General features: G+C 55.6%; 1 protein-coding gene across 3 annotated transcripts in view, besides 4 other annotated features; it reads left to right on the top strand.

Annotated features, from left to right (window-relative positions):
• Positions 1-24436, top strand: part of COL5A1 (collagen type V alpha 1 chain) — a 203041-nt gene that overhangs the window by 134183 nt on the left and 44422 nt on the right. For all 3 annotated transcript variants that reach the window (NM_000093.5, XM_017014266.3, NM_001278074.1), the window contains exons 28-37: positions 4117-4161; positions 6682-6735; positions 9004-9111; positions 10010-10063; positions 13170-13223; positions 19097-19141; positions 19277-19330; positions 20389-20433; positions 20863-20916; positions 22423-22476. In NM_000093.5, the coding sequence (NP_000084.3) occupies positions 4117-4161; positions 6682-6735; positions 9004-9111; positions 10010-10063; positions 13170-13223; positions 19097-19141; positions 19277-19330; positions 20389-20433; positions 20863-20916; positions 22423-22476 (567 nt within the window). The remainder of the gene's footprint in view (positions 1-4116; positions 4162-6681; positions 6736-9003; positions 9112-10009; positions 10064-13169; positions 13224-19096; positions 19142-19276; positions 19331-20388; positions 20434-20862; positions 20917-22422; positions 22477-24436) is intronic.
• Positions 1590-1735: a silencer, noted in NCBI's record as "fragment chr9:137669421-137669566 (GRCh37/hg19 assembly coordinates)". NCBI's record gives its function as "represses an EF-1alpha promoter that drives an FKBP-Casp9 reporter gene in an ReSE screen in HepG2 liver carcinoma cells {active_cell/tissue: HepG2}" and the evidence as "EXISTENCE:reporter gene assay evidence [ECO:0000049][PMID:32094911]".
• Positions 2248-2857: an enhancer, noted in NCBI's record as "H3K4me1 hESC enhancer chr9:137670079-137670688 (GRCh37/hg19 assembly coordinates)". NCBI's record gives its function as "activates a minimal SCP1, AML or CMV promoter by ChIP-STARR-seq in naive H9 embryonic stem cells {active_cell/tissue: H9 hESC(naive)}" and the evidence as "EXISTENCE:reporter gene assay evidence [ECO:0000049][PMID:30033119]".
• Positions 2412-2671: an enhancer, noted in NCBI's record as "active region_29287". NCBI's record gives its function as "activates an Ori minimal core promoter by ATAC-STARR-seq in GM12878 lymphoblastoid cells {active_cell/tissue: GM12878}" and the evidence as "EXISTENCE:reporter gene assay evidence [ECO:0000049][PMID:35858748]".
• Positions 8271-9223: an enhancer, noted in NCBI's record as "H3K4me1 hESC enhancer chr9:137676102-137677054 (GRCh37/hg19 assembly coordinates)". NCBI's record gives its function as "activates a minimal SCP1, AML or CMV promoter by ChIP-STARR-seq in naive and primed H9 embryonic stem cells {active_cell/tissue: H9 hESC(naive and primed)}" and the evidence as "EXISTENCE:reporter gene assay evidence [ECO:0000049][PMID:30033119]".

The raw sequence follows: 24436 nt of genomic DNA on the forward strand, positions 1-24436 counted from the left end.
TCAGTTTTCAGTGACATGCCCCAGATTACACTAAAATCGAGGCTGCTGTCAGAAATCAAACCAGGTTCCAAATCAAGTGCCCCACCCTTGTCCCCCGGAGGCCCCGACTTCCATTTCCCAGGAATGAGGACCTTCCAAGTTCACGAGGTATTGAAGAGAGACCTCCCAACGGTTGGGAGCCTTAGGCGAGTCAGGTTTTTCCCTAAAGCCAGCTTCTACCAGCAAAATGCCTAGCGAATTTTATAAGGGTGATAATTTAGTAGAAATGCTGATTATGTGAGTTCTATAGCATGTTTATTTTACAAATTCCTGTCGCATAGCAGAAGCCTCTGCCAACTCCCATACATGGCTAATTGCATAACGCTGCTTCTGTGAGCTAAAAAGGTGTTTGCTTTAAAATGTTTATGGAGAATGCTCTTATCTTGCCTATCTGATTAAAATTCATTCATGACATGAGCAATCCAGTTAGACTTGGAAGCAGAGGGTGGAAGGAAAACCGAGGTTTAAAATTATTTTCATCGGGGAAAAAGTTTCTCATACTCCTGTGCATTTGGAAATGTGAGTGGTGTCGGCGCCTCACGAGTTTGGCCCGGGTGGCAGTGATGGTGGCAGGGCGTGGGATTGCGTGGGCCGAGCTGCCGCCATTTGAGGTGAATAGTCCTTGGTGAGAGGGGGCCCGTTATTTTCCACCAAAGCCCTACCTTCTTCCCAGGAAAAGGTTCTTAGTCCAGTGGGGCTGCTATAACCAAAAGACCCTAAAATGGGTGGCTTGTAAACAACAGGGAATTATTTCTCACAGTCCTGGAGGCTGGGAATTCCAAGATCACAGCACCAGCAGATGCAGTGTCTGCGGAAGGCTGCTGTCTAGTTCCTTGATGGTCCCGTCTCACTGTGTCCACACATAGCAGAAGAGGGGGGACGAGCACCCTGGGGCCTCTGGTAAAGGCATAATCCTAATCACAGGGGCTCCACCCTGTGACCCAGTCAGTCACCTCCCCACAGCCCCACCTCCTAGTTCCATTGCCTCAGGTATTGGGGTTCACCATATGAGTTTTTGGTGGACACAGACATTCAGGCCACAGCAGGCTCGTGTTCCTTTGAGTTCACTGACCTTTAGCCCACCTCCAGGCTTCCCTCTGCCTTGCACGTCTGAAGGGGCACCTGTTTAAGCTTGACTGTCAGCAGAGTCAAATCCACCCCTCGTTTAGCCCCCAGCTGCTAGGGGGTTGCCAGGAGGCCCCAAATATGAGTTCACATCCAGGCCTTGGGCGAAAGCCTGTCCCTCTCTGGGCTGTGCGCACATCTGGTCCCAGCCGTGCTGCAGCTCCTGAGTGCTCCTTCCCGGGGCGGCTGGCCGGCCGAGTCACGGATGCCCCAATCCAGCCCTTCCCAGCCAGGGCCACTTCCTGCATGACTGGGGAGTGCCCTCTAATGGGAGGTGCTGCTCACCCCACCACGGACACAGCAGCCCCAATGTCAACAGCCCCGTGGCCAAGAAGCCCTGGGAAGTGCTGGTTCTGTCTAGTTGGTCCCATTCCTCCTACGGGGATCCTGAAACGGTAGAACTGTAGGACCGGGAGGGGTCTCAGGAGGCTGCGGCTGGTTCTGTCTAGTTGGTCCCATTCCTCCGATGGGGATCCTCAAACGGTAGAACTGTAGGACCGAGAGGGGTCTCAGGAGGCTGCGGTCCTACCTGCCTGCTCTCAGCAGGGCATGGGCAGGGAGGGAGCAGCAGCGTCCCCCAGCCTGCCCAGCCAGAGGGAGGAGAGCTGGTGCCAATGCCCCCGGGTGCTGTGCCAGGGAGTTTAGTGCTCCTGGGAAATAATGCCAGCCACACAAACCCAGTCCCCCAGGACTCAGGGCAGGGAGGGGCAGCTGGACATCACCTTGCATTCAGGATCAGACGCTGCTGAGCAGGCTCAACCCTGATTGTATTCTCAGCCACACCTGCGATTTTCCTGTGCGTTTCAGAGGAAATAAGCAGAATCCAAAGTTGCTCTTCTATTTTGCAAGTATGGTGAGGACTCAAAACTGCCCTAAGAAAAGAAAGTAGCTCATCTCCTAAAAAGCCCTTCTTGGTGGGGTTCTGGGGCTGTTGTCTCTGAGGCGATGCCACGCCGTGGTGAGACGGCAGGTGGTTTTCTGGGGCCCCCAGCTCTGTGTCAGCCAGCGTGGCCCTACCTGTTCTCTTTTCAAAACTCTGGGGGCTTCCAGCCAGGATTGCTTTGGAAGAAGGCATCTGCTAGGAAAAAAACACCACCAAGTGCTTAGAAACCACTCGCCTCTCAGCAGCTGGCCCAGCTGAGTCACTTCTCACCTTCCTGGGCTGCCCGGGCCCACAGGTGCTGCCAAGCGCGTGCTGTGCTCAGTGGGGGCAGTGGCCTGCAGCAGGCTGTTCTGAGCCTCCTCGCGGCTTGGCTGGTCGTTCCCACTCAGCCCTGGAATACGCAAGCTGTGTTTGTCCGGCGCTTCCTCTCCATCTTGAGGTCCATGTCCCATCTCAGGCTGGGGTAGAGACTAGCGTAGGAGAGGCTTGTTTGGAGTCGGCCTCCCTGCTTGGGCCAGTGCTGTTTCTGAGCTGTGCCCTGTCCCCCCAAGGCGCTCCATGCTGGCCCACATTAGTGTGCCAAGTGCCAGGCCAGACGAACCAGAGCTGCTCCGAGCCCACCTTGCCCTCCCGGCTGCCTCCGCCCTGTGCTGGGCGTAGAGGGAGGTGTCCCAGGCCTCTCCACTAGTGGTGGCGGCCAGGTGTGAAGCAGACATGACTTCAGCAATGGTGCCTGCAGGTGTAGTGGCAGAACTCTTGCTTGTCTCCGGTGCTCCAAATCCTCCAGTGATTATGGTTCAGGGCAACCACGCCGCTGCCCTGTCTGCGTGGCTGGAAGTGCCTTGCAGCTGGCACTGGAGTGGAAGGCGTTTCTGCAGTTACATCCGCAGCTCCTTGGCAGAGCCAGGGCACGCAGCCCAAGGCCAGCCACCTCTGCAGAAAGGAGCTCCTCCGTGTCTCCATCCCTTCCCAGAGCCCCTCCCTCTCCAGGACCTGGGGAAAGGCCAGAACTGCCAAGTATGTGGGAAGTTCTGACCACCAGAGGGCAGCCGGCAGGCCCTGCGTCCTCCAGTGCTCTGTGGCCCCGGCTTCAGCCTCAGCCTGGAATCCCGGTGCCGGGGGCAGTGTGGCTTCTCTCTCTCTCTCAAGTCCCACGGGCAGGTGGCCTGAGGTAGCCCGAGGTAGTCTCTCTAGCTAAAAGTCACCCTGCTGGGAGGGCTGAAGTCAAAGACATTAACAGCAAGGGTGTGGCTGCGTAATTCCACCCCACAGATTTACCTCCACTGCCCCAGGCGCTTGGCACAGTGAGAGTGTCAGAGAAATAGTCCTGGGCCCCGTCCCAGAAACTCCTGTTCAGCAGGGAGGTGGGATGGTGTGTCCTGAACTCATGACAACTGCAATAAATATGTTATCATCATTCATTAGTAATATCACAGTATCATCTCTTCATGTTAACACGGAGTTGAAATACATGGCACTGGGCTTCTGTTTATTGACACCTGCTGTGTGCTGGGTGCTAGGTGCTGTTCTGAGAGCTTAGCAGGCATTTCCCTCCCAACAGTGGTAACGAGGTAAGGGTTGTCGTCCTCTCCACTTCCCAAATGAGGAAACTGAGGCACGCAGGAGTCTGGGGCATTGTCAGAGGCCATGGAGGGGGAGCTGGGACCTAATCAAGTCTGCCTTAGACCTCACCTCCTGCTTCCTCCCCAAACCTCTGAAAGGTGGGGGTGTTTCTAGAAGATGATGCTATAATGGGAAGCAGGAGGGGTGTGTTGGCTGCCGGGTGTGGGCCCTTGGAAGGGCGGGTCCAGAGCTTGGGCTGGAAGGTGGGGGATGGGTTTGGGTCTTTGCATGAAGAACAGGAGTCAGTGGAGTCAGCCCAGGAATTGTGGACACGCTGGGCCTCCTGAGGCCACAGGGGGACATATGGGAGGAAGTGTGTTGAGGGCAGGGCGCTGGCCTCATCTGTCAGCTTCAGCGAGCTCAGCCTGTCTTGACACGCCTGCGACAGCTCTAGAAAGGCTGAGACTTGTAACCATTCACTCCTTTTTCTTTTCCCACCCGCACAGGGGGCCGATGGCATCCGTGGTCTGAAGGGCACAAAGGGCGAGAAGGTAAGTCTCTCCTTGCAGCCACGGGGCCCCCTGCTTAGTCCGGAGCCGAATTCCAGCCAGCGGGGCCCTCCCACAATGCTTCTTCCATGAAACCAGCTGAGGTGGATGTCGCCTCTGAGTACTGAGGGGGATGGATGCCACTCTGTGGAAAGTGTCTCTGTTTGCAGACGGAAGAAGAGTAAGTTGAGGATAGGCCCTCGGGTCCCCAGGGGCACATCTCCTAGCAGAGCTGAGTGGGTCCAGGGTTTGTGTCTCTGCACAAGGAGAAGGCCTTGGCCCCAGAGACAACACACGGCCCCCCACGTGCCTGCAGGGGCCAGTGGACACCTGTCACCCTCCCCACTCCCAGGTGGGCCGCCTTGCATGGCCGCTGGCACGAGGGTCCACTTAGTTGTTAGATGTTCATCCCTGGGCAGCCCAAGCTGCAGAAACTCACAGTGTGCAGCAGAGCCAGGCAGGGAGGGAGAGAGGCCGTGCCATTGGCCATGGTCCGTGGGGGCAGGTCAGGCCTAAGCAGATCACTGTGGTGAAGACAAAGCTAAACTACACCCCCATGCATGCCTGCCAGAGTCAGAAGCTTGGGTGCAGCCTGCAGCGGCGACAGCCTGAGCCACATGGAGCTGCGTGGCCGGCCACCTTTCTCTTCTCACTGTGGTGGAAGGAAGCTCAGAGCCAAATCCAAGGCCCAGTTATGACACAGATTTAGGCCTCAGGGGCGGCCTCACCGTGCCACCCTCCCCACCGTGGCCTCACGCTCTGTTGTGGGTTCGCCCTGCCATGCCGTGTAGCCATGCAATACTTGCTTTCCGTAAGGCATGTTGGTCCCCTTTGCTGGGCAGACTCTGGGCTCTCCCCTGGCCACGGCGGCCTGCGGGGCTGGAGTGCGGGTGCTGGCGTGATGGTCCACGTGCCGAGACTCCTTATTTGCTACCTGTCGAAGATGTCGCTTGGATCCTTTCTTGTGAAATCTGCCGGCCTTAAAGCCATTCCCGAGGGGACGCATTGAGTGGCCACAACTGGATCAGAAATGATGTGGCAGCAGGAACGCTCTTGTTCCACGGAGTTTGTTGAGCGTGCTGGTCCCTGGTTTCTGTTCTTAGTGTCTGCCCTTGTGGGAGGACCGGCCAGGAGGCCTGAGCCTGTGCCATCTCGGCTCCTTCCCAAGGGCATCCGCACAGCGGAATCCTAAGTCCTCATCCGGGAAAGCTGAGCAGTTTGGCCTCTCCAAGAGCACTGCTTTCTACGTGGAGCCCGTCGGGGCTTCGGAACACGAGGGCCTTACGAACACAGGGTCCCCATCCCAGAATTCCATCCCGTTGGTCCCCGGGAGGCTCCCTCACCTGAGGACCTTTCATCCTTTCCAAGGTGGCTTCACAGAGTCCAGCTTTGCCGCTTGATCTTGTCACGTTTGTCCCTAGCCAGAGACAGGGCTGCCTGAGATGATACTGATTGGGCTGTGCAGGGGATGCCTTCTTGCCAGGAGAGCTCCCGCACTGTTCCCGAGGGCCACGCAGGCAGCCCGACATGGTCTGGGGAAGGAGTGGGGCAGTGCCAAGGGACCGTCTTTGTGGACTTCTGCATTATTTGTGGCCGCTGCTCAGCTTCCAGCACTATGTGAACACTGTGAACAAGTGCCTTGAGGCCCTGGGAGCCCCGGGAGCTGGCGCTGGCTGGAAAGGGCTGGATTCTCACTGCACAGAAAGCTGCCTCCCTTGCGTGTGCCCCCAGCCGGGCCTTGAATGTTTACGACCGGCTGAGTCCCCAGATCCTGTCCTTTCACTCTTTTTGGATCAAGATGTAGCCCCTGAATAATGACAGGAAAAGCCCAGCCAAGGGTCCCCTCTCTGGGAGCCACCCGTGCCCTCTGCTGAAGGATCTGAGGGCTTTTGCCCTGCGGTTTCCGGGATGGGGAACGTCTAGACCAGGGACTCAAACGGACAGCAGGGGGCACTGACGCGCGGCAGCCTCACTTGGGTCCCAGGTTCACCAGTAACCCAGGGGTGCGCGGGCCGCTGACTTCCCCCGCCACCCCCGGCAACACCCCTACCCTTCAGAAAGCACTGCCTGTTACTGCAGTGCCGGCAAGAGCAGGCGTTAGGGATTCTTTGCAGGGGCATTTTCATCCAGCTCCCCGTCCTCAATTGTCACCCCCTTTACCCGTCACTTCAGTGCTTCAGTGCTGATGGGACGCCACAGAGTGCACTGAGAAATGATACCGGGAGCTCAGGGGCCTGGGCTTGCTGAGGCCTCGCCATGCAGAACATTCAGATTCAAACTGGGCCTGCCCAAGAAGCAGGGACGCAGCTCTCTCCAGCTTCAGAACGTTACAGCTGGGAACGCAGAGCTCATGGGAAAGCCATTCTCGAGGGATGGGCCCCAAGCCCACCCCGTCCGGGCCATGTGCTGCCCCCCAAGCGTGGGGGACCTGGTGCTGAGTGTGGTTGTTTGGAGCGGGGAAGGGACCGCCAGGGAGGCGGGTCCTCTTGCCTAGACTAGGGCACTCTCTTGTCCCATATTCAGGGTGAAGACGGCTTTCCTGGGTTTAAAGGAGACATGGGCATCAAGGGTGATCGGGTGAGCATCTCAGGTTTGGGATTTGGGCTGGGGAAAGCTGGGTGGGCTTGGCCGTGTGGGAGGGGGTGGGGATGTTTGCCGCCACAGGGCAGCTTCTCAGAATGGAGGTAAACTCTTGGTAGAGATTCCTGGTGGGAAGGGGACAGTGGCGTGGAGCCCAGGGCCCGACTCTCTCCAGCTCCTCTTCACCTCCTCTTCCTCAGTTTGCCCCTTGGGGACTGGGAATAACCTGTGGTCGCCAGCTCCTCCGCCCAGTGTCCCACACAGGGGGTCAGTGGGGCTGGGTTCACTTCTGACTGCACCTGTGGACTGCAGAGTTACTCACCTGACTCAAGAGGGATAAGCGGTGCCTGGGAAGAGAAAAGAGAGCAGCTACGGAAATGACCCAGCCTACCGAAGGAGCGCAGCTGCTGCCCAGGCCACACGGCCGGCGCCCACAGGGCAGCACGCGACGTGGGTCTAGGATCCCTGTGAGCCTGGGGAGCGTCCTGGTCCCCAGACAGTTCTTCAGGGTCCCTGGGACTCCCACACAGTCCTGTGGTCTGTGATTTTGGCTCAGGAGACCTGGCTTATTTTTAAATGAATAATTTAGCTCGGCTCCAGAGAAAGCCGGTGGGTGCTGGGAGGGACTGGGGCTTGCCGGCAACCACAGAAAGTGACGGGCTGCACGTTCCTGTAATTAAAGAGAAGGTGACGCAAAGGGCACGAAGGAAGGGTAGGGAGCTCTTAGAGCAGCCAGGGTGGCCAAAAGACTCTTGGAGGTTTCCCCAGTAACCTCTCAGCGAGCAGAAGCCCAGCAGAAGGAACCGAAGACGCCTCGGCCTCCGGTGGGCACAGCCGTGGTGACAGCTGTGCACGCACCGGGACGGACATCTGTCGGCTGCAGCAGGGCTGTCACCCAGCTGCCGCAGTCATCCCCCTGCAGCACCGGCTCGCAGGTGGCTTTCCAGAACAGGAAAGCCCCACACACTTGGCACTTCGTCCCAACCTGGCAGGCAAAAGGCAGAGGCAATCTGCACCTCTGTGGGAAGGAAGGGGGAGGAAGGAGGGGATCTCTTGCGCAATGTTGTCCCAGTTAAGTTGCTGCTAAAGGCACCCATTCTAGAACTTCTTTCCTAGTAGAAGGCTCCTGAATCCCCACATCCCAGCGGCTTCTCGGTTTGATGGTGAAAGTCCTTTTCTCCTCCTTTCTGATGCCTCTGTTCACACATGTGGCGTCCACGTGACGAGGGTGCAGCTTCAGAAGAGATGACACACGTTCCCGTGCCAGGGCTCCGAGAGTGGAGCTCTCGTTGCCATGGGACGAGGGTGGGATGCAGGGGTGGGACCCATCCTGAGCCCAGGGAACAGGACCCCATATGCGGACCTCTTCAGAGAGCACAGCCTGGCACTTTGCACCTTCTCGGTGCTCTGTAAATGTGTGCCGGGTTATTTTGTTGAACGAGAGGAACACCTCTTAGGGACAGAGAGTTCCTGACCCGATGACAGATTAGAGCCTCAGAATTAGGAAGTTATTCATTTTTCTCTATCTGAGCAATACACATTTCTGTTGTGGGCTTGCACCACTGCTTTACAGCTGCTCTTAGAGACAGATGATCAGAGGAGGATCCATCCATTGCTGGACAAAGAGTGCCGGGAAGGGCATTTAGAGACTCTGCCGTAGCGCTACCATTGCCTGGGCAGGCTCCAGAGCCCTCTCCCCTTTCTGAGCCCCGAGCTCCCAATCTGTAACTTGAGGAAGTTGGACGAGGCGGAATTTAAGCCCGTCTGTTCCTGGGACGCCTCCTGAGGCCCTCCCGTGTGCTCGTTATGCCCAGGTAACTGCCCCATCCGGGGCTGGGGTCCACTTCCATACCTCCTGGGGTTTCAGAAGCAGCAGCAGCTCCCAGTCACTCTGCTCTATTTGGAGAAACAGCAATTCAGAGCTACTATTGTTAACCAAAGTTATTTTAGCTAAGAGGCACTCAATTTAGAGAAGGTAATTGGGAAGTAGGAGCCTGCAGCCTTGAGAAAATAAATAGCAGGCAACCTCGGTGCAGAGACCAGCTTCCGCAGAGCCCGGGAGCCCGGGAATTCGCGGTACAATGCGCTCGCTTTGTCAGTGGCTCCGGGAGCAGCTCCGTGGTCTGAGTGAGGCCGAGCTGGTGGAGCAGCTCTGACCACAGGGTGCCTGTGACCTGTCCCCTTGCTCCTTGCTCTCAGAATGGTGGTGGAGAATAGTGTGTGTGCGGGGGGTGGTCTTCTCACCTCCTCTTTTCTGGCTTGCAGGGGGAGATCGGCCCACCCGGTCCCAGGGGAGAAGATGGCCCTGAAGGCCCAAAGGGTCGCGGAGGTCCCAATGGTGACCCCGGTCCTCTGGGACCCCCTGGGGAGAAGGTTTGTGATGTGGGACGTTCAGCCACTTTCTTGGGAGGGATCTGACAGGCCCTTCCCCATGGCCTCGGGCTCCCGTTGGCTGTGGCTGCCCTAGGCATGGGGTGGGGGTGATTCCTGAGCGGGCTCCTGTCTCCACCCTGGGTTCTCTCTGCTGTTCCTATGAAGCTGTTGGTTGAATGATGACCCTTTCCTTGTCCCGGGTTCGCCCTTTCCCAGCCCTCCACCATCGCCTTGGAAGGCTCCTTCCTCCCGGTGGCTACAAAGCCTGCGTTCTGAGCCCCAACATTCCAGGACCCCGTCCTTGTCACATTCCCGCCTCCACAGCTGGGTAATAACGGTGTCCCCACCATGGCCTGAAGGTGTGGCAGCCTGGCAGGAAGGAAGGCCGGGGTCCTTGGAGCAGGCTCTGGGCATGCAGCCATCAATAGGCCTGCAGTTTCCAGCTGTGGGAGGCTCCTGGGCCAGCCACACACCCTGGCTCCACCCTGTTTCCACCCTGGGCTCAGGCAGGAATGGTGCATGCAGTGGTCCAGACTTCCTGCCCTATCCTGCTACGTGGACCCATACAAAAGGGCTCAGAGGTGCCCCAGGATGAACACGCTGAGTTGAGGCATTTGCCTCTAATCGCTTTGCTCCACAGTGGCAAGACCTCTCCTCCAGGGGCCTTCGCTTCTTCCTCGGTGCAGGGACCATCGGGTACCCCCTGGATTTCATGGGTGCTGGCAGTCACCCTCCACCTAGGGCAGGCAGGGCTTCTGCATAATGACGTGTGCCCCCGCCTCTGGAAACCACACCCTCCTCCAGGCCCCTGCCAGAACGCATGTCCTTTCTCTCTGCTCCGGGGAAACGGATGGAGCAATACCGTGCTGGCCATTAATGCAACTCTTTCTTCCCCCAGGGAAAACTCGGAGTCCCAGGGTTACCAGGGTATCCAGGAAGACAAGGACCAAAGGTAACTTCTGGCCGTGTTAGGTGTCCCGGGACAGGCGGAGGGATGTTCTGCCCGGTCTCCCCACCCTGCATCCGGCCGTGTTAGGTGTCCCGGCACAGGTGGAAGGATGTTCTGCCGATAACTTCTGGCCATGTTACGTGTCCTGGTGCAGGCGTGGGGGTTGTACCGCCAGGCCTCCTCACCTTGCATCCAGCTATGTTAGGTGTCCCGGGACAGGTGGAGGGATGCTCCACCGGCCGTCTCCACCCTGCACAGGTTCATCCACTCCCCATCCTTGGGGGCGTGTGTGACACTGTGGCTCTCAGCCTCCACCGTGTTCACTGCCTTCTGCATTAATTTGCCGAGTTGAAAGGAGGCTCTTGGGCAATGAGTCTTCTGCCCCAGTCGGCACAGACACCTGGGGTCCTTCTGGGATCCTCCTGGAGTCCCCTGCAGTCTTCTGCACCTGTTGCTTGGCTGGTGGCCCTTTTCCCCTGGGTTGTCCATACCCAGAATCCGTGGGATGGTCGCCTCTCAACTCTACCTCACCGGCGATTTGAAGGCTATTTGCTCATAATGGAGTATAAAAGAAAAAGGAAACCTTTCTTATGTGAAATCATGTTCAGGTTTAAGTGAAACAGCTCCTTGAGGCTTTGGAAATCATTGAAAATGTTATTTTTTTTCAAATCTCACATTTTATTATTCATGGTTCTTCCTTAAAGAATAACCAGCTGCCTGCACTGGAGACATAATTAACAGCCGAAGCGGGGTCCCGTCTTTCTCAGATCTGCCTCTGCCCGAGGCATCTCCTTTTAGCCTCAGCACCTTTTCGGTCTCACTGGAGCAGTCTTGTTAACAGGAGGACGGGCGTGGTGGGCTGAGGCTGCCCTCCAGGTATTTCCATTCTCATTAAGGAAATGCTCCTGTCCGTCCTTCCTGTGGAATGCGAAGCCCCCTGCTCCGTGTGTGTGGATGCACACCCCATATGCAGGAGAGGTAGCTTGCTGTGAAACAGGAATTTCATTTAGGATCTAACAGTGGCTCGTTGAACGTGGGTGTGATGTAGCTGCTGACCGCAGCATCGTCACTGAATGTGGTCAAAGGGGCTGATGGGCACTTTTCCTCTCTTAATATACATCCCTCTGGGGATGGAAAGAAGAGAAGTTTGGGAAAGATGGGTGGTCTAAATCAAGTCCAGGCAACTTTTTGGAAAGGAATGGTACATGTGTCCTGGGCAGAGACTAGAAGTAGCCATCAGCACAGTGACCCGGTTTCTGAACTGAGCTCTGTGTCACCTGCACTGAGGTTTCCTGGGTCCTGCCCCCTGCCTAGATTGGCAGGCGGGCGTGTGAGTGGCTTGGCTGAACTCAGTCCCCTGTGAGAAATACAAGGTTTGGACATGTGTGAGCTCTTCATGGATACAAGTGTGCATTCAGGACAGGATTTTAAGCCAGACAAATAGAGACCTGCCAAAGACAGTGGCCAGCGCCAACCCTGTGGGCAGCTGAGCGACCTCACTGCGGTGCTGCTTCCTGTGTGGGTGTTTGGATATTCACCAGGTCAGAGTCCCTAAATCCATCTCTGGTCTGTGTGCACCTTGCAAACTTCTAGAATTAAAGAGCTGGTAGGTGCTACAGTCAGTGCATAAATTTGCATTCATTCCCAACTCTGCAAGCTGCTGTGCTTTATTTAAAGGGATTGTGGGACGCCAACACAACGTGCACGAGGCACAGAAAATACAATGTCACAGTGCAATGTTCATGTCTCACCTCAGTTCAGCTCAGCAGTGTGTGTCCCTTTCTCCCAAACACCAGCCACCCTCCTATGGATATGGGCGCGTGGGGGATGGTGGCAGGGGAGGGAGCATGATGAAACTCCATTTGGCTTTCTAGAGCTGAAGCCTGTGAAATGCTTAGGAAATATTTATTGAGTAGAGAGGATGGATAAAGAGATAGGTGGCTGGGTGAGTGGAGGGGTGTGGATAGGTAGGCAGATGGATGAATGGGTAGGTATGTGGGTGTGTAGGCAGATGGATAGACAGATAGATGGGTTGGTGGGAAGAGAGGTGGATGAATGGATGGGTGGGCAGGTGGGGTAGATACATAGATGGATGGATGAGTGGGCAGGTAAATAGACAAGTGGATGAATGGAGGGGTGGGTTTATAGGTAGGCAAATCGATGAATGGGTAGGTGGGTAGGTAGACACATGGATAGACATAGGTGGGCTGCTTGGCAGAGAGGTGGATGAATGGATGGGTGGGCAGGTAAGTAGACAGGTCGATGAATGGAGGGGTGGGTTTATAGGTAGGCAAATCGATGGATGAATGGATGGGTGGGCAGGTAAGTAGACAGGTGGATGAATGGAGGGGTAGGTGGATAGGTAGACAGGCAAATGGATGAATGGTTAGGTGGGTAGGTAGGCAGGTAGATGTATACATAGGTAGGCCAGTGGGTGGATAGGTGGGTGAATGGATGGGTGGGCAGGTGGGTAGACAGTTGGGTGAATGGAGGGGTGGGTGGATAGGTAGGCAGATGGAATGAATGGGTAGGTGGGTGGGTGGGTAGGTGGATAGACAGATAGATGGATAGAGAGATAGATGGATAGACAGATAGATGGATAGACAGATAGATGGATAGACAGATAGATGGATAGACAGATAGGTGGGCCAGTGGGTAAACAGGTGTATGAATGGGTAGGTGGGCAGATGGGTAAACAAGTGGATGGATGGGTGGGCAGATGAGTAGACAGGTGGATGGTGGATGGGTGGGTAGACAGGTGGATGAATGGAGGCATGGGAGGATAGGTAGACAGGCAGATGGATGAGTGGGAGGATAGGTAGACAGGCAGATAGATGAATGGGTGGGTGGGTGGGTAGACAGGTAGACGGATGAATGGGTAGGTGGGTAGACAGGCGGATGAGTGGGTGGGTGGGTAGACAGGTAGATGGATGAGTAGGTGGATAGGTGAGAAGGTAGGTAGACAGGTAGGTGGGTGGTTGGGTGGGTGGGCAGGTGGAGTCTGGGGCAGAGGCTGTGCACTGGCATGCAGGTGGTCCCCCAGGCGGCCCATGCAGCATGACTCATTCCTGGCCCAGCTCTGATGCCTCCTCCTTAAACTCTCTTTCAGGGCTCTATTGGATTCCCTGGATTTCCTGGCGCCAATGGAGAGAAGGGCGGCAGGGTAAGGATAGCCTGGCCCCTGGGCAGGCAGCTTGTTCGGCTGCCTCGGTGCCTAGCAAGTTGGTTCTCCAGCCGACGGCCTGTTTATTTCTCACTCTCTTGCTTCTGAAACTGCTCTCCTGAATGGCTGGCCTTAAGCTCTTGAACTTCAGCACCACGTGTTGGTGACACTCTCCAGACGCTGGGCTGGGCAGGTATGTGATAGGAAGGGGCAGAGGCAGGAAGGAAGTGTGCTGAGAAAATGGAGCTTTCTAATTAGCACCACAATCCAGAAGGCTCTTTCAGGTCATTCTGAAAATCAGATTCTTCTCCTCTACCCAAGTGGGCTTTTCCTCCAAGCTAATTTTAAAAGGAAGGGAAAAAGGAGATTGTTTTTTCCCTTCAAAAATGTCCTGCTACTTAACCGTCGTCCAAATTTAAAGTCATTTAAATTAACATTAACTTGGACGGGATTAGCAAGCTGCCATTGTCATAAACACCCACCAGCTTGCAGTGTGGTTTGAGTCCCCTTTGTCCTCACCCTCAGCGAAGGAACAGGGGGCCGGGCTGAGGGAGCTGTGTTCTCCCTGCACCTTCTGGAGCCCCCGCTGGCCCAGGCCTCCCTGCAGGAGCGGTCCTGGATGCTTGTTAGTGAAATCACAGTGCCTGAGCATTGCCACTTGGGAAAACAGGAGAGAGATGGTCCTCAGGCCTTGGACTCTGAGCTGGCCTTGTCCACGGGGCATATGGCGGGGACAGAGAAAGGCCAGTCTGTGGTGTACATGCAGGACAGCATCTGCAGAGCAGGCCTGGGGGACATGCTCCCCGAAAGATGGCAGAGCTCACACCTGCCTTGTAGCCCCAGCCATGATCCTGCAGCCCTGCCCAGCCCATCCTCCTATGCCCCATCCTGCTGTCCCAGGGCAGACAGAGCTACAGGGTTGCAGCTCCCTCTTGGGCCTGTCCCTCCTGGCCAAAACCTTATGAGCAAACAAATGTGTTCTGCCAGATTCACAAAATAGGAAAAAGAAGTCTGTTCTGAGTGTAAGTTGGCAGCACAGACCCAAGGAGACTATTATCTCCATCTCCACCCCTCTCTGTCTCTGTCCTTTTACCCATCCATCCATCCACCCACCCATCCATCCATCCATCCACCCACCCACCAACCCATCCACCCATCCATCCATGCATCCATCCACCCACCCACCCACCCACCCAGCCACCCAGCCATCCAGCCACCCACCCATCCATCCATCCACCCACTCACCCATCCATCCAGCCACCCACCCACCCATCCACCCATCCACCCACCCACCCACCCACCCATCCATTCATCCATCCATCCACCCACCCATCCATTCATCCGTCCACCCACCCACCCACCCATCCATCCATCCATCCATCTATCCATCCACCCACCCATCCATCCATCCATCCATCCATCCATCCATCCATCCATCCATCTTCTATTATCTGTCTATCTCTGTCAGTATCTATCCAACCCATCCACCTCTCCATCTGTCTCTATCCAGCTGTCATTCTTCTTCTGGAGAAGCCCTGAGTAGTGCCTTTGGGAATACACTGTCTTCTGAAATACTCTTAGGTACCACTGTGAGAAACATGGGGAATGTGAGGTACCCCGGTGGGCTGCTCCTGTGCTGGGGGACCTTTCACACTGCACTGCAGTGAGAGTGTCTGGGAGAGGATATGGCCTTCTGCAGCTGGTCATGGGCTGTGACTGCAAGCCCTTTCCATGGAGGACTGTGTGGGACCAGGGACCTCGTGGAGCAACTGGAGCCCTTGCTCACTCCCATGCTCCTGACTGGGGCTCTGCCCCTCATGCGTCTCAGCCTCCCCACCGGCGAGCCGAGGAGCTTAGATGGATGCTCCAGATGTCCAGGGCATCAGCACTGTGGGTCACGGGACACAACACAAACCTGACTCAAGCCCAGACCTGCCAGGCACCACATGCCCCAGTCACACATAGGAGCTACTCACAGCCTTTCTGCAGCCTCTGGGTGTCTGGCCCTGCCCAAGGACATTTCGTTCACTGCTGCACCTGGCTGGTGGCACAACCCACAACACAGACCTCAGGCCAAAAGGGCGAGGCCGTGTGCTTCCCCTTGAGCCATGGTAGTGGTGGTTCATGTGTGTGAGATGGAGCCCTGGCCTCCTTCATCTTTGCCATCACAGCTCTTCAGAGCCTCCCGTTCAGGACACTGAGCACAGCCTTTGCCCGCATGAGCCTTCAGTGGCATCGTCACTGCAGAATGAAGCCTGCAGCACTGCCTGGCTTTCTGGACAGGGTTGATGCTTTGTACCAAGTTCGGGGAATGACGGAGAGTGTGGGTGCCCTCTGATCTAGTAGGTTGGGCTTCCCGAATGTCCACAGGAAGCTGAGGGCTGGGCTGTCCTTGCAAAGGGACCCTTCCTCTTTTGTTGACTGCAGAAGCCTCACTTAGGTTACCCAGAAGCCTCTGGGCGCTGGCTTGCCTTCTGCGCCTCGGTGAACAGATGCTGCCTCCCAGGTTTCGCCCTTGGCCGCCCTTCTTTTGCCTTGGGCTTTGGACTTGGTAGTCTTGGGTGCAGTCCATTCACTTAAACAGCACATGCATCGCGAGTCCTTTCTCAGTGCTGGGTGTTCTGCCAGGCTCTGAGGACTCTGGTGGTCAAAGCAGACATCCCTCTGGCATCCAGAGTGGAACACCACCTGGTAAGCAGCACTCAGAGGAGTGGTGGCTGTGATGATGAAGGACAAGGGTGAGTCAGGGAAAGGTCATAGGCACCAGGGTCTGACCCAGAAGGTCCAGGGAGGCCTCCTGGAGCAGTGACATTTTTGCTGAGCCCTGCAGGAGGGACAGAAGTGGATAGGTGAGGTATGGAAAGCAGGCAGAGCTGTGGGGTCAGGAGGTGAGGAGCCGGGGGCCGGCACAGGGCCGAGCCCGGCAAGGGAGACGTGGGAGTGGGCTGTGGGCTGCAGAGCCTGCCGGGGCAGCCAGCTGCTTTGGGGGAAGCTCTTTATCCTGAGGCACTGGGACCTACGGAAGGTTTTAGCCAGGGGGAATGGCACTGAAGATTGTTTGAAACAGCTCTGGTCCCAGTGTGGGGCAGGAATGGGAAGGGGACCATTCCAAGGGTTGAAGGGAAAGCCAGTGGGATGTCTGTGCTCATCCAGAGAGGTCTTTTATTTATTTATTTATTTATTTAGAGACAGAGTCTCGCTCTGTCACCCAGGCTGGAATGCAGTGGTGCGATCTCAGCTCACTGCAACCTCCACCTCCCAGGCTCAAGCAATTCTCCTGCCTCAGCCTCCTAAGTAGTTGAGATTACAGATCGCCTGGCTAATTTTTGTATTTTTAGTAGAGACAAGATTTCGTCATGTTGACCGGGCCAGTTTCGAACTCCTGACCTCAAGTGATCTGCCCGCCTCAGCCTCCCAAAGTGCTGGGATTACAGGCGTGAACCACCATGCCCGGCCCAGAGAGGTCTTTTAGAAGATCTTAGATATTCCGGCCAGATGGATGCTTCTAGGTGCTAGGATGCCAGGCCTGAGTGTCCGCATGCATGCGTGCATGTGTGTGTGTGCGTGTGTGTACATATGTGTGTGTGCATGTGTGCGTGCATGTGTGTGCATGTGTGTGTATGCATGTGTATGTGTGTGTGCGCACACGTGTGTGTGCGCGCGTTTGTGCACACGTGTGTGTGCGCGCGTGTGTGCACGCGCGTGTGTGTGCGCATGTGTATGTGTGTCTGCCTTCCACATGAGGGCTGCCTGCTGTCTGCCTGCTGTCTGTCTGCCTGGTCCTACCTTCTGCAGAGCTAGCGTTGGTTCTGTGGACCTTGACTATGGGCCAGACGTGGAAATGGCAGGAACATAAGCTGCTATGTCAAGCCAGCTGAAGCCAAAGGAAGAGGAGTGGGTGTGAGCAAAGTGTCGCTTTGCCCCTCGGGCCTCGGGCCAAGGAGGGATCCCAGGAGCCCCTTCCCGGGAAGGGGGAAAGACCCGCTCTTCAGATGCACCTGCCCGAAAGTGGAAGGCCTCTCCTAGCTGTGTTTGACTTCCCCAGTAGAAGGTCCCCTCTCAAGCTGCGTTTGGCTTCCCAGCATGGCCATTGCTGGGACTGTCCACTCCTTCCTAAGGGCAAGAAGACAGGTGCCCACAAGCAATTTGCAAGGGAGAAGGAAGGCTAAGGAGGCTGGGGGGGGCATTCTGTTCCACAGCTCCAGTCACAGGGACTCGAGATTCTTTGGCTTGAGTTAGTTTATAAAGAAAACAGATGAGCAAGATGCCTGCTGGGAGCCCCAGATGGCGTTGCGGTCGAGCCGGTATTTTGCTAACTGCCAGGGCCCCAGCGCCTGTGCCTCGGGCACAGTCAGTTTGGGTTGCAGTCATTTTTGTTGCAGGATTAAACCTGTGGTCCAGGTCATAGTGGGACTGTTTTAGGGTGGAGGGTTTTCATTCTAGGGGAGGATGGGAATGAGTAAATCTGGCAGCCCGGGCTCATTCGCACCTAAATGCCAGGAGTCATCAGGTTGGCCGTGGGCATCCTCGCCTGTAGAACGCCTATCACTGGAAGAAAGCAGATGTTTCGTTAATTTTCATATGCAAATATTTATTTGAAGCCAGAGGATATCACCATAGTAATTGAAGAACTGGAACCGGAGCGCATTGTTAAAAAGCTACATAATTAACTCATCATCATAAATGGTTTTAATAAATGCATTTCAAAATGGGAGACTCTAGGAAGCAGTTTTGACTCTGGCAGCAAATGAATGAAAGATGATGAGCGGAAACTTATCTGATGGCCTCCAGCCATACAGATCCACCTTGGGCGGAGCATCAGAAACCAGTCAAGTTCAGCCAGGCACGGTGGCTCACGCTTGTAATCCCAGCACTTTGGGAGGCTGAGGCGGGTGAATCACGAGGTCAAGAGATCGAGACCATCCTTGCCAACATGGTGAAACCCTGTCTCTACTAAAATTAGCTGGGCGTGGTGGCACACACCTGTAGTCTGTCCCAGCAACTCAGGAGGCTGAGGCAGGAGAATCGCTTGAACCTGGGAGGCGGAGGTTGCAGTCAGCCAAGATCACACCATTGCATTCATTCCAGCCTGGCGGCAGAGCAAGACTCTGTCTAAAAAAAAAAAAAAAGAAACAAAAAAGAAACCAGTCAAGTTCAGGAAGCTGAGTTGGGACACGGTGGGGGATGTAGGGGCCCCTGCGTGTTCAGCCCGTGGCTTCCGTGTAATGTAGCTTAACTACATTTTCCAGCTCTGACATCTTTGCACTGCATTTGTTTTCTGTGGTTTGGAAAATGCAAAACAACAACAGAAAAAAGAGTATAAATTCTATTAGAGGAGAAGCCGATGACTCTTGGATATATGATTTATATATTAAATTCCAAGTTTGCGCGTCTGCAGAGCCTGTTGAAAATTTAATGGCTAATATTCTTAACTGTAGCAAAAGTAAATTATGTATGAAAGGGGTTGACTTTCTTCTCTTTTCTTGCAATAATGATTTCCCTCCCTGCTGAGGACAGAGAGAGAAAGAGAGATGAGGAGGAGGGGAAGGAGGGAGGAAGGAGGAGGAGGGATGTAGCGGTGCTCTGAGGAAAGAAACCAGATAATAGTATAAACATCCATCAGACTGCAGGAGGAAAATTGGATTTCAGCAGGACTTGTGCAGGAGTGCAAAGCTGTGTGTGTCGGGTGTGCGGTGAGCTTCTCGCCCTGATAAATCTCCTATTAAAACACGGAAAAGGTGGGTGGCGGGGAGGCCCAGGTTCCTCCTATCCTGCTCTGAATTCACAGTCTCTCAATAACCCGGGAGACAGCTGCCACCTGAGCAGGGCCGGGCATTTAGAGAGTGACTGACCAGCCCCTTCTCTGATTCTAGGGGACCCCTGGAAAGCCAGGACCGCGGGGGCAGCGAGGCCCAACGGTAACCACCCTTTCAGCTTGTGGGCATGTTTGGGAAACGGGAGCATGGTTTAGGGAGCACGTGCCAGGGGCTGGGGGAAGGCAGTGTCTGTGTGTCGGGACTTGAGCTGACCTTCCTTCTCTCCCATCTGTCCAGGGTCCGAGGGGTGAAAGAGGCCCCCGGGGCATCACTGGGAAGCCTGGCCCCAAGGTATGTTTTTGGCCTCCTGGGCGGTGGGCGGCGTGAACCCAAGTTGCAAGGCTACAGAGACGTGGAGCGTCTGAGGGTGTCTGTGACCTTTTTTATTAAAAAAAAAAAAAAAGGCAGGACATTTTCTTAGGTGTGTTTAAGAAGCTTGTCCCCTCCAGCAGCCTCTGGATGCCTCAGATCAGATGTAATTAAGTGGCTGAGAACGATGGTCATGAGAAGTGGCCCCAGCAGAGCAGGGACAGGGCCTCGCCCCAACACCTGGGACCCCAAAGACGGCAGCAGGGGGCCAGGCCCACCGCAGACTCACCCGCCCTGGTCGGGAGGCCCCATTTCCTCTCTTGAAAGGGGTTTGAGAGCTGCAGAGGCCTCTACCAGAACCTACAGAAAGTGCTTTCTGGCAGGGGAAGGCCCAGGCCGGCCTCATGCACATTCTTCCCACCGAGGGGCATTGAAGCCACTCCTTGGGTGGAGAATCTGGACACAGACCCAGCAGGCAGGCTACTCCTACCTGTCCAGGATGCCACTCCAGAGCGGGTTCCTGCTGGGATGAGTCTTCCAAGGGCTGAGGGGCCGAGCTGGCCCGTCCCTCGGCTGACCGGAATGCACCCACAGGCCACCCTGAACTCCTCCAGGACAAGCTCTGGGGCACTTCTCGTGTGCCCCGTGACCTGACCTGAGGCTCACCTATGAGAACTCAGAGCAGCAGCTGTCACATGGGGGTGGCCCTAGAGCGGGTCCCTGCGTTCTGCCTTTGCATGACTTTTCCAGGTGCTCGAGGCTGGGGCACAGCCTTTGTCCCACTCAGGAGACTGTTCTGGAAATGTCCAGCCTTGTAGACACTGGGCTGTCAGCTGCATGCAGAGGCACGGGGACAGGCAGGCTTTGATAGCCACAGATCAGCGCCAATGCCTTCTGCCCCTTACTGAGGGTCAGGGCCACCTTCAGGGGTGCACACAGGCAATATTTGACTCAGACGTTTTGATGACGTTGTGGGCCAGAGTCTTTTCATCCAAATAATAACAATCATAAGCTTTTCCCCCCTCTCCTTCCCTCTCAAGGGCAACTCCGGAGGTGACGGCCCAGCTGGCCCTCCTGGTGAACGGGTAAGCAGCTGGAGCCTTCGGGGGTGTCTCCAAGGGCAGAGCCTGCCTCGAATGCCCCCTGCACTTTGTCCTGGGGTGGGCTGGGGCCAGGGAGGCACGCCTCAGACCCTGCTGAAGGGTAGGGTTTTCCTAAGATCCCAAGGGTGGGTCACGCCCTGGGAGTGAACTCTTCCGTAGGTCAGGGGCCTCGACCGCAGCCCTGGTCTTGGGGTTTGGGAGTGGCCGAGATGACAGGAAATGGGTCCTGGGCCCCATCCTGCCCCCGAGGGTGAGGCAGGGTGAGGGAGGGGCTGGAATAATGGAGGAAAGGCCATGGGGGTGGGAAGAAATGACACCTGCGTTCAGAGAGCCACCGGCACAGGCAGGTCAGCGGCAGGAGCTGCTCGGGAGAGACCTCTTGTCCTCAAACTGGCCTTTCTCTGTTCCCAGGGACCCAATGGACCCCAAGGACCCACAGGATTTCCTGGACCAAAGGGCCCCCCTGTAAGTAATGGCTTCCTTGCTGGGCCAGCACTGCCTGTCCCCTCCAAAACCCACCTGTCCCCTCCAAAACCCGCCTGTTTTCTCTGAGGTCTGCTCGGAGCTCCTCACAGTGGCCGGTGGGTGGAGGGAGGCCCGAGGTGAAATTCTGGCTGGTCAGATGAGGGGGAGACCCCCCCACCGCCAAGGCGGCTGTGGGGCAGTCTGTGGCTGTGTCCCACTGCCGGGCCCGCTGGCACTGGAGAGGGCTGCACGCTGGGGTCCTCTCTCCTTGAGACTGAAGTGATTTTCTCTGAGTTCTGTGTTAGTGCCCTGGGGCCGCCATCACAAATGACCAGGAACTGGCTTAGAACTGGGTGTGGCTCTTCTGTCACAGCCCTGGGGGCCAGAAGTTGGAGAGCAAAGTGTGGTCAGTCAGAGCTGGCACCTTCTGGAAGCTCTAGGGGAGATGGGGTACCAGGCCTCTCCCGGGGGCTGGTAGCTGCTGCCAGTCCTTGGCACCCAGTGGCCTGTGCACACTCACCCTGGCCACTGCCCCCATCTTCACGTGGACTTCCGTCTGTGTCTCTCTGTCTTCTAATCTCTTTCTTTTTTTGTTTTTTGAGACAGAGTCTCGCTCTGTCGCCCAGGCTGGAGTGCATTGGCTCGATCTCGGCTCACTGCAAACTCTGCCTCCTGGGTTCAAGCCATTCTCCTGCCTCAGCCTCCCGAGTAGCTGGGATTACAGGCATGCGCCACCACACCCAGCTAATTTTTGTATTTTTAGTAGAGATGGGGTTTCACCGTGTTGGCCAGGATGGTCTCGAACTCCTGACCTCAGGTGATCCACCTGCCTCGGCCTCCCAAAGTGCTGGGATTACAGCCACCGTGCCCGGAGCCCCCACGCCCGGCCATCTCTTTCATTTTATAAGGACACCAGTCACTGGGCTGGGCCCACACCCATCTAGGTTGGCTTCATCCTAATTCAGTTACACTGGCAAAAACCCCATTTCCAAGTGAGGTCACAGGCACAGGTTCTGGGGGTCAGAGCTTCCACATGTCCTTTTTGGGGACACACGTCGCCTTATGGCAGGTGTGATGTATCTCCTCCAGTATGGACAACCATCTAGCAGTGGGATTATGACCCAGCAGGCATGGCGGGGCTGGTGGGAGGAGGTTGGACTTTGCAACTGGACAGACTTGGGTCCTGGCACCGGCTGTGTCACCTGCTGGCTGGACCTCAGGATACCAACTGGCCTCTTATGCCTCGGTTTCTCCCTTGGTAGATGAGGGTGACAACAGCACGTCCCATGGGGCAGTTGTGAGGATTTTGTACGAGGACAGGCAGGAGCCAAGGACAGCTTTAGATTTGTTGTCACTGTCCCCGTGCCTGCCAGGTGATTGCTTTTCTCAGAGGATGTGCAGGGGCAGGAGCCATGGAAATAACGGTCACTCCACGTGGCATTAATTCTCAAAGGTGGTTGCTTCTCAGACACGAATGAACCTCCTTTCCTTTGGTTTTTTCTTCAGGGCCCTCCAGGCAAGGATGGACTCCCAGGACACCCTGGACAGAGAGGCGAGACTGTGAGTATCGAGGGTGCTGGGGGACGTGGCTGGCTGGCTCTCTGACCACCCTGCACGTGGGCACAGCCCTCGCTGCCCAGCGCCATCTAGGACCCTCCTGGCCTGGGAGAGACAGGTTGGCCTCAGAAAGGCTCCCAAGGGCCGGGCCGGCTTCCGCTGACTCAGAGCCAGGCTGTGAGGCAGGGCCAGGGCAGAGCAGTCATGCAGGCCGGCAGCGCCTTATGGCATCTGTGGGCAGAAGGCAGGTGTTGGCTTTGGGCTGGTTTTGGAAACTTTGGTGAGAGGCCACATTTAAAGACACACACAGATTATCCTGGGCCGACTGAAGCCTCATGCATCCAGCCTTATTTTCCCTCTAGAATAATGCTGAGTGCTACCCCGCTTGAGGGATACGTCTTTTAATTGAGAAAGTGCTGGGAAAGGGTCTACATGTTACTCAGCGTCATTCAGTCATTCGATGCTGCAATACTTCAAGAGGGCGGCTGTGGGCCATGCACCAACCCCACCCACGTTCACCCGGGCCCTTCCAGCTCCAATCCAGGGGGTCTGGAGGATGCCTGCAATGTCCCTTTTTACACTAAAGAAAACAAGCGCCAGTCAGGTGGAAGTGGCCTCTAACTAGTCACTCCGCTGGGCACATGGTCTTTGTAGTCAGAGACTCCCCTTTGACCTTGCCCTTCACTTTAGAAATGCATATCACAGGCTACTTCATCCAGACCAGAAAGGACTCCAGTGTTTTCAGTTGGGAGAAAAAGCCCTCATCAGAAATGGGATCATTTTCCTGGCCCCATCAGCCCTTCGAAATTTGGCCCAGCTCCCTAAAGGTGTGTTTCAGGAAAGGGTGCAGGCACGCCTGTAACCTGGCCCACACCTACAAGCTTGGGGCTCCAGGCTCTGAATATCTGGGGACGTGCAGTGTCGGGTGACTTCCTCGTCACCACGCTGTGTTCCTTCTCCGAGTGCCCACCTACTCTGTCCAGCTTAAAGGATGAATTGCACAGATGCAAACATTTCCCACAGAGGAGAGTGAGGGGCATGCCAGGATCACTGCAAGGGTCCCTGCAGCCAGGTTTCTAGGGATCAAGGTCTCTACAGGACTCTCCCAGCAAAAGCAGGTCCCCTCGTGGAATGGGTCTCTGAGTGCCCTGTTGAATATATTCTCCATGCCTGCTTTGAAAAAATCCCCTTTGTCTCTCTTTGGTTCATCGTGATGAAACCTCTTTTAATTATACCTTCACTGGTGTTCTGCACGGCGCATGCTGCCTGATAAATGGAGATTGCTTTGCTCTTTTGTTTATAGAGAAAAATTAAAACATTTCTTCTGAGCTTTGCATATTTTTCTCTAATGCCTTTTCAAGGAGACAAGATAGAAGGTTTTACATATTATGTGCTTTTCTCCCTCTGACTTATTCTGGACGGAGGCTGGTGAAAGAATTAAGCTGCTTGTCTCTGCTCAGAAAGTTGCACATGTACTTCCGGCTGCCTTCTGCCACCCCGGCCACCTCTCTAGACACATGGCGCTGGAGTGATGCCTGTGTCTCTGAGAGCCACTTGGGACATAGCATCTCCTCCATGGGCTAGTCCAGACAAGCCTTCCAGAAAGAGCTTCTCTGCAGTGTTGATTTCCTTCTTTTTTAAAAATATGAAACACCAACGGTCATTATTTCTCCTAAATGTGAGCCAGAAACTTATTTCTCAGCAAAGGGCTAAGGTCATATTCTGTCCTCAACAGCCAGGGTGGCCGAGGGCCCTGGGGAGGCCTTTTTTGTTTCGTGTTAACTTTGACATTAGCAAAACTTAACCAAGGCTCCGATCTCCCTTCAGGCTCTTGAGCTCTTCTCCCCGGGTCCACTGAGCAGGGCATGCCCTTGACACCCATCCACCGTTCCTTACTTCTGACCCCATAAGTGCAATGAACATTAGAAACGATCATTCTAGCCCACAGCTGAGCTGGGCTTAA

This window comes from Homo sapiens, chromosome 9, assembly GCF_000001405.40.
Source record: "Homo sapiens chromosome 9, GRCh38.p14 Primary Assembly".
Classification (NCBI taxonomy): domain Eukaryota; kingdom Metazoa; phylum Chordata; class Mammalia; order Primates; family Hominidae; genus Homo; species Homo sapiens.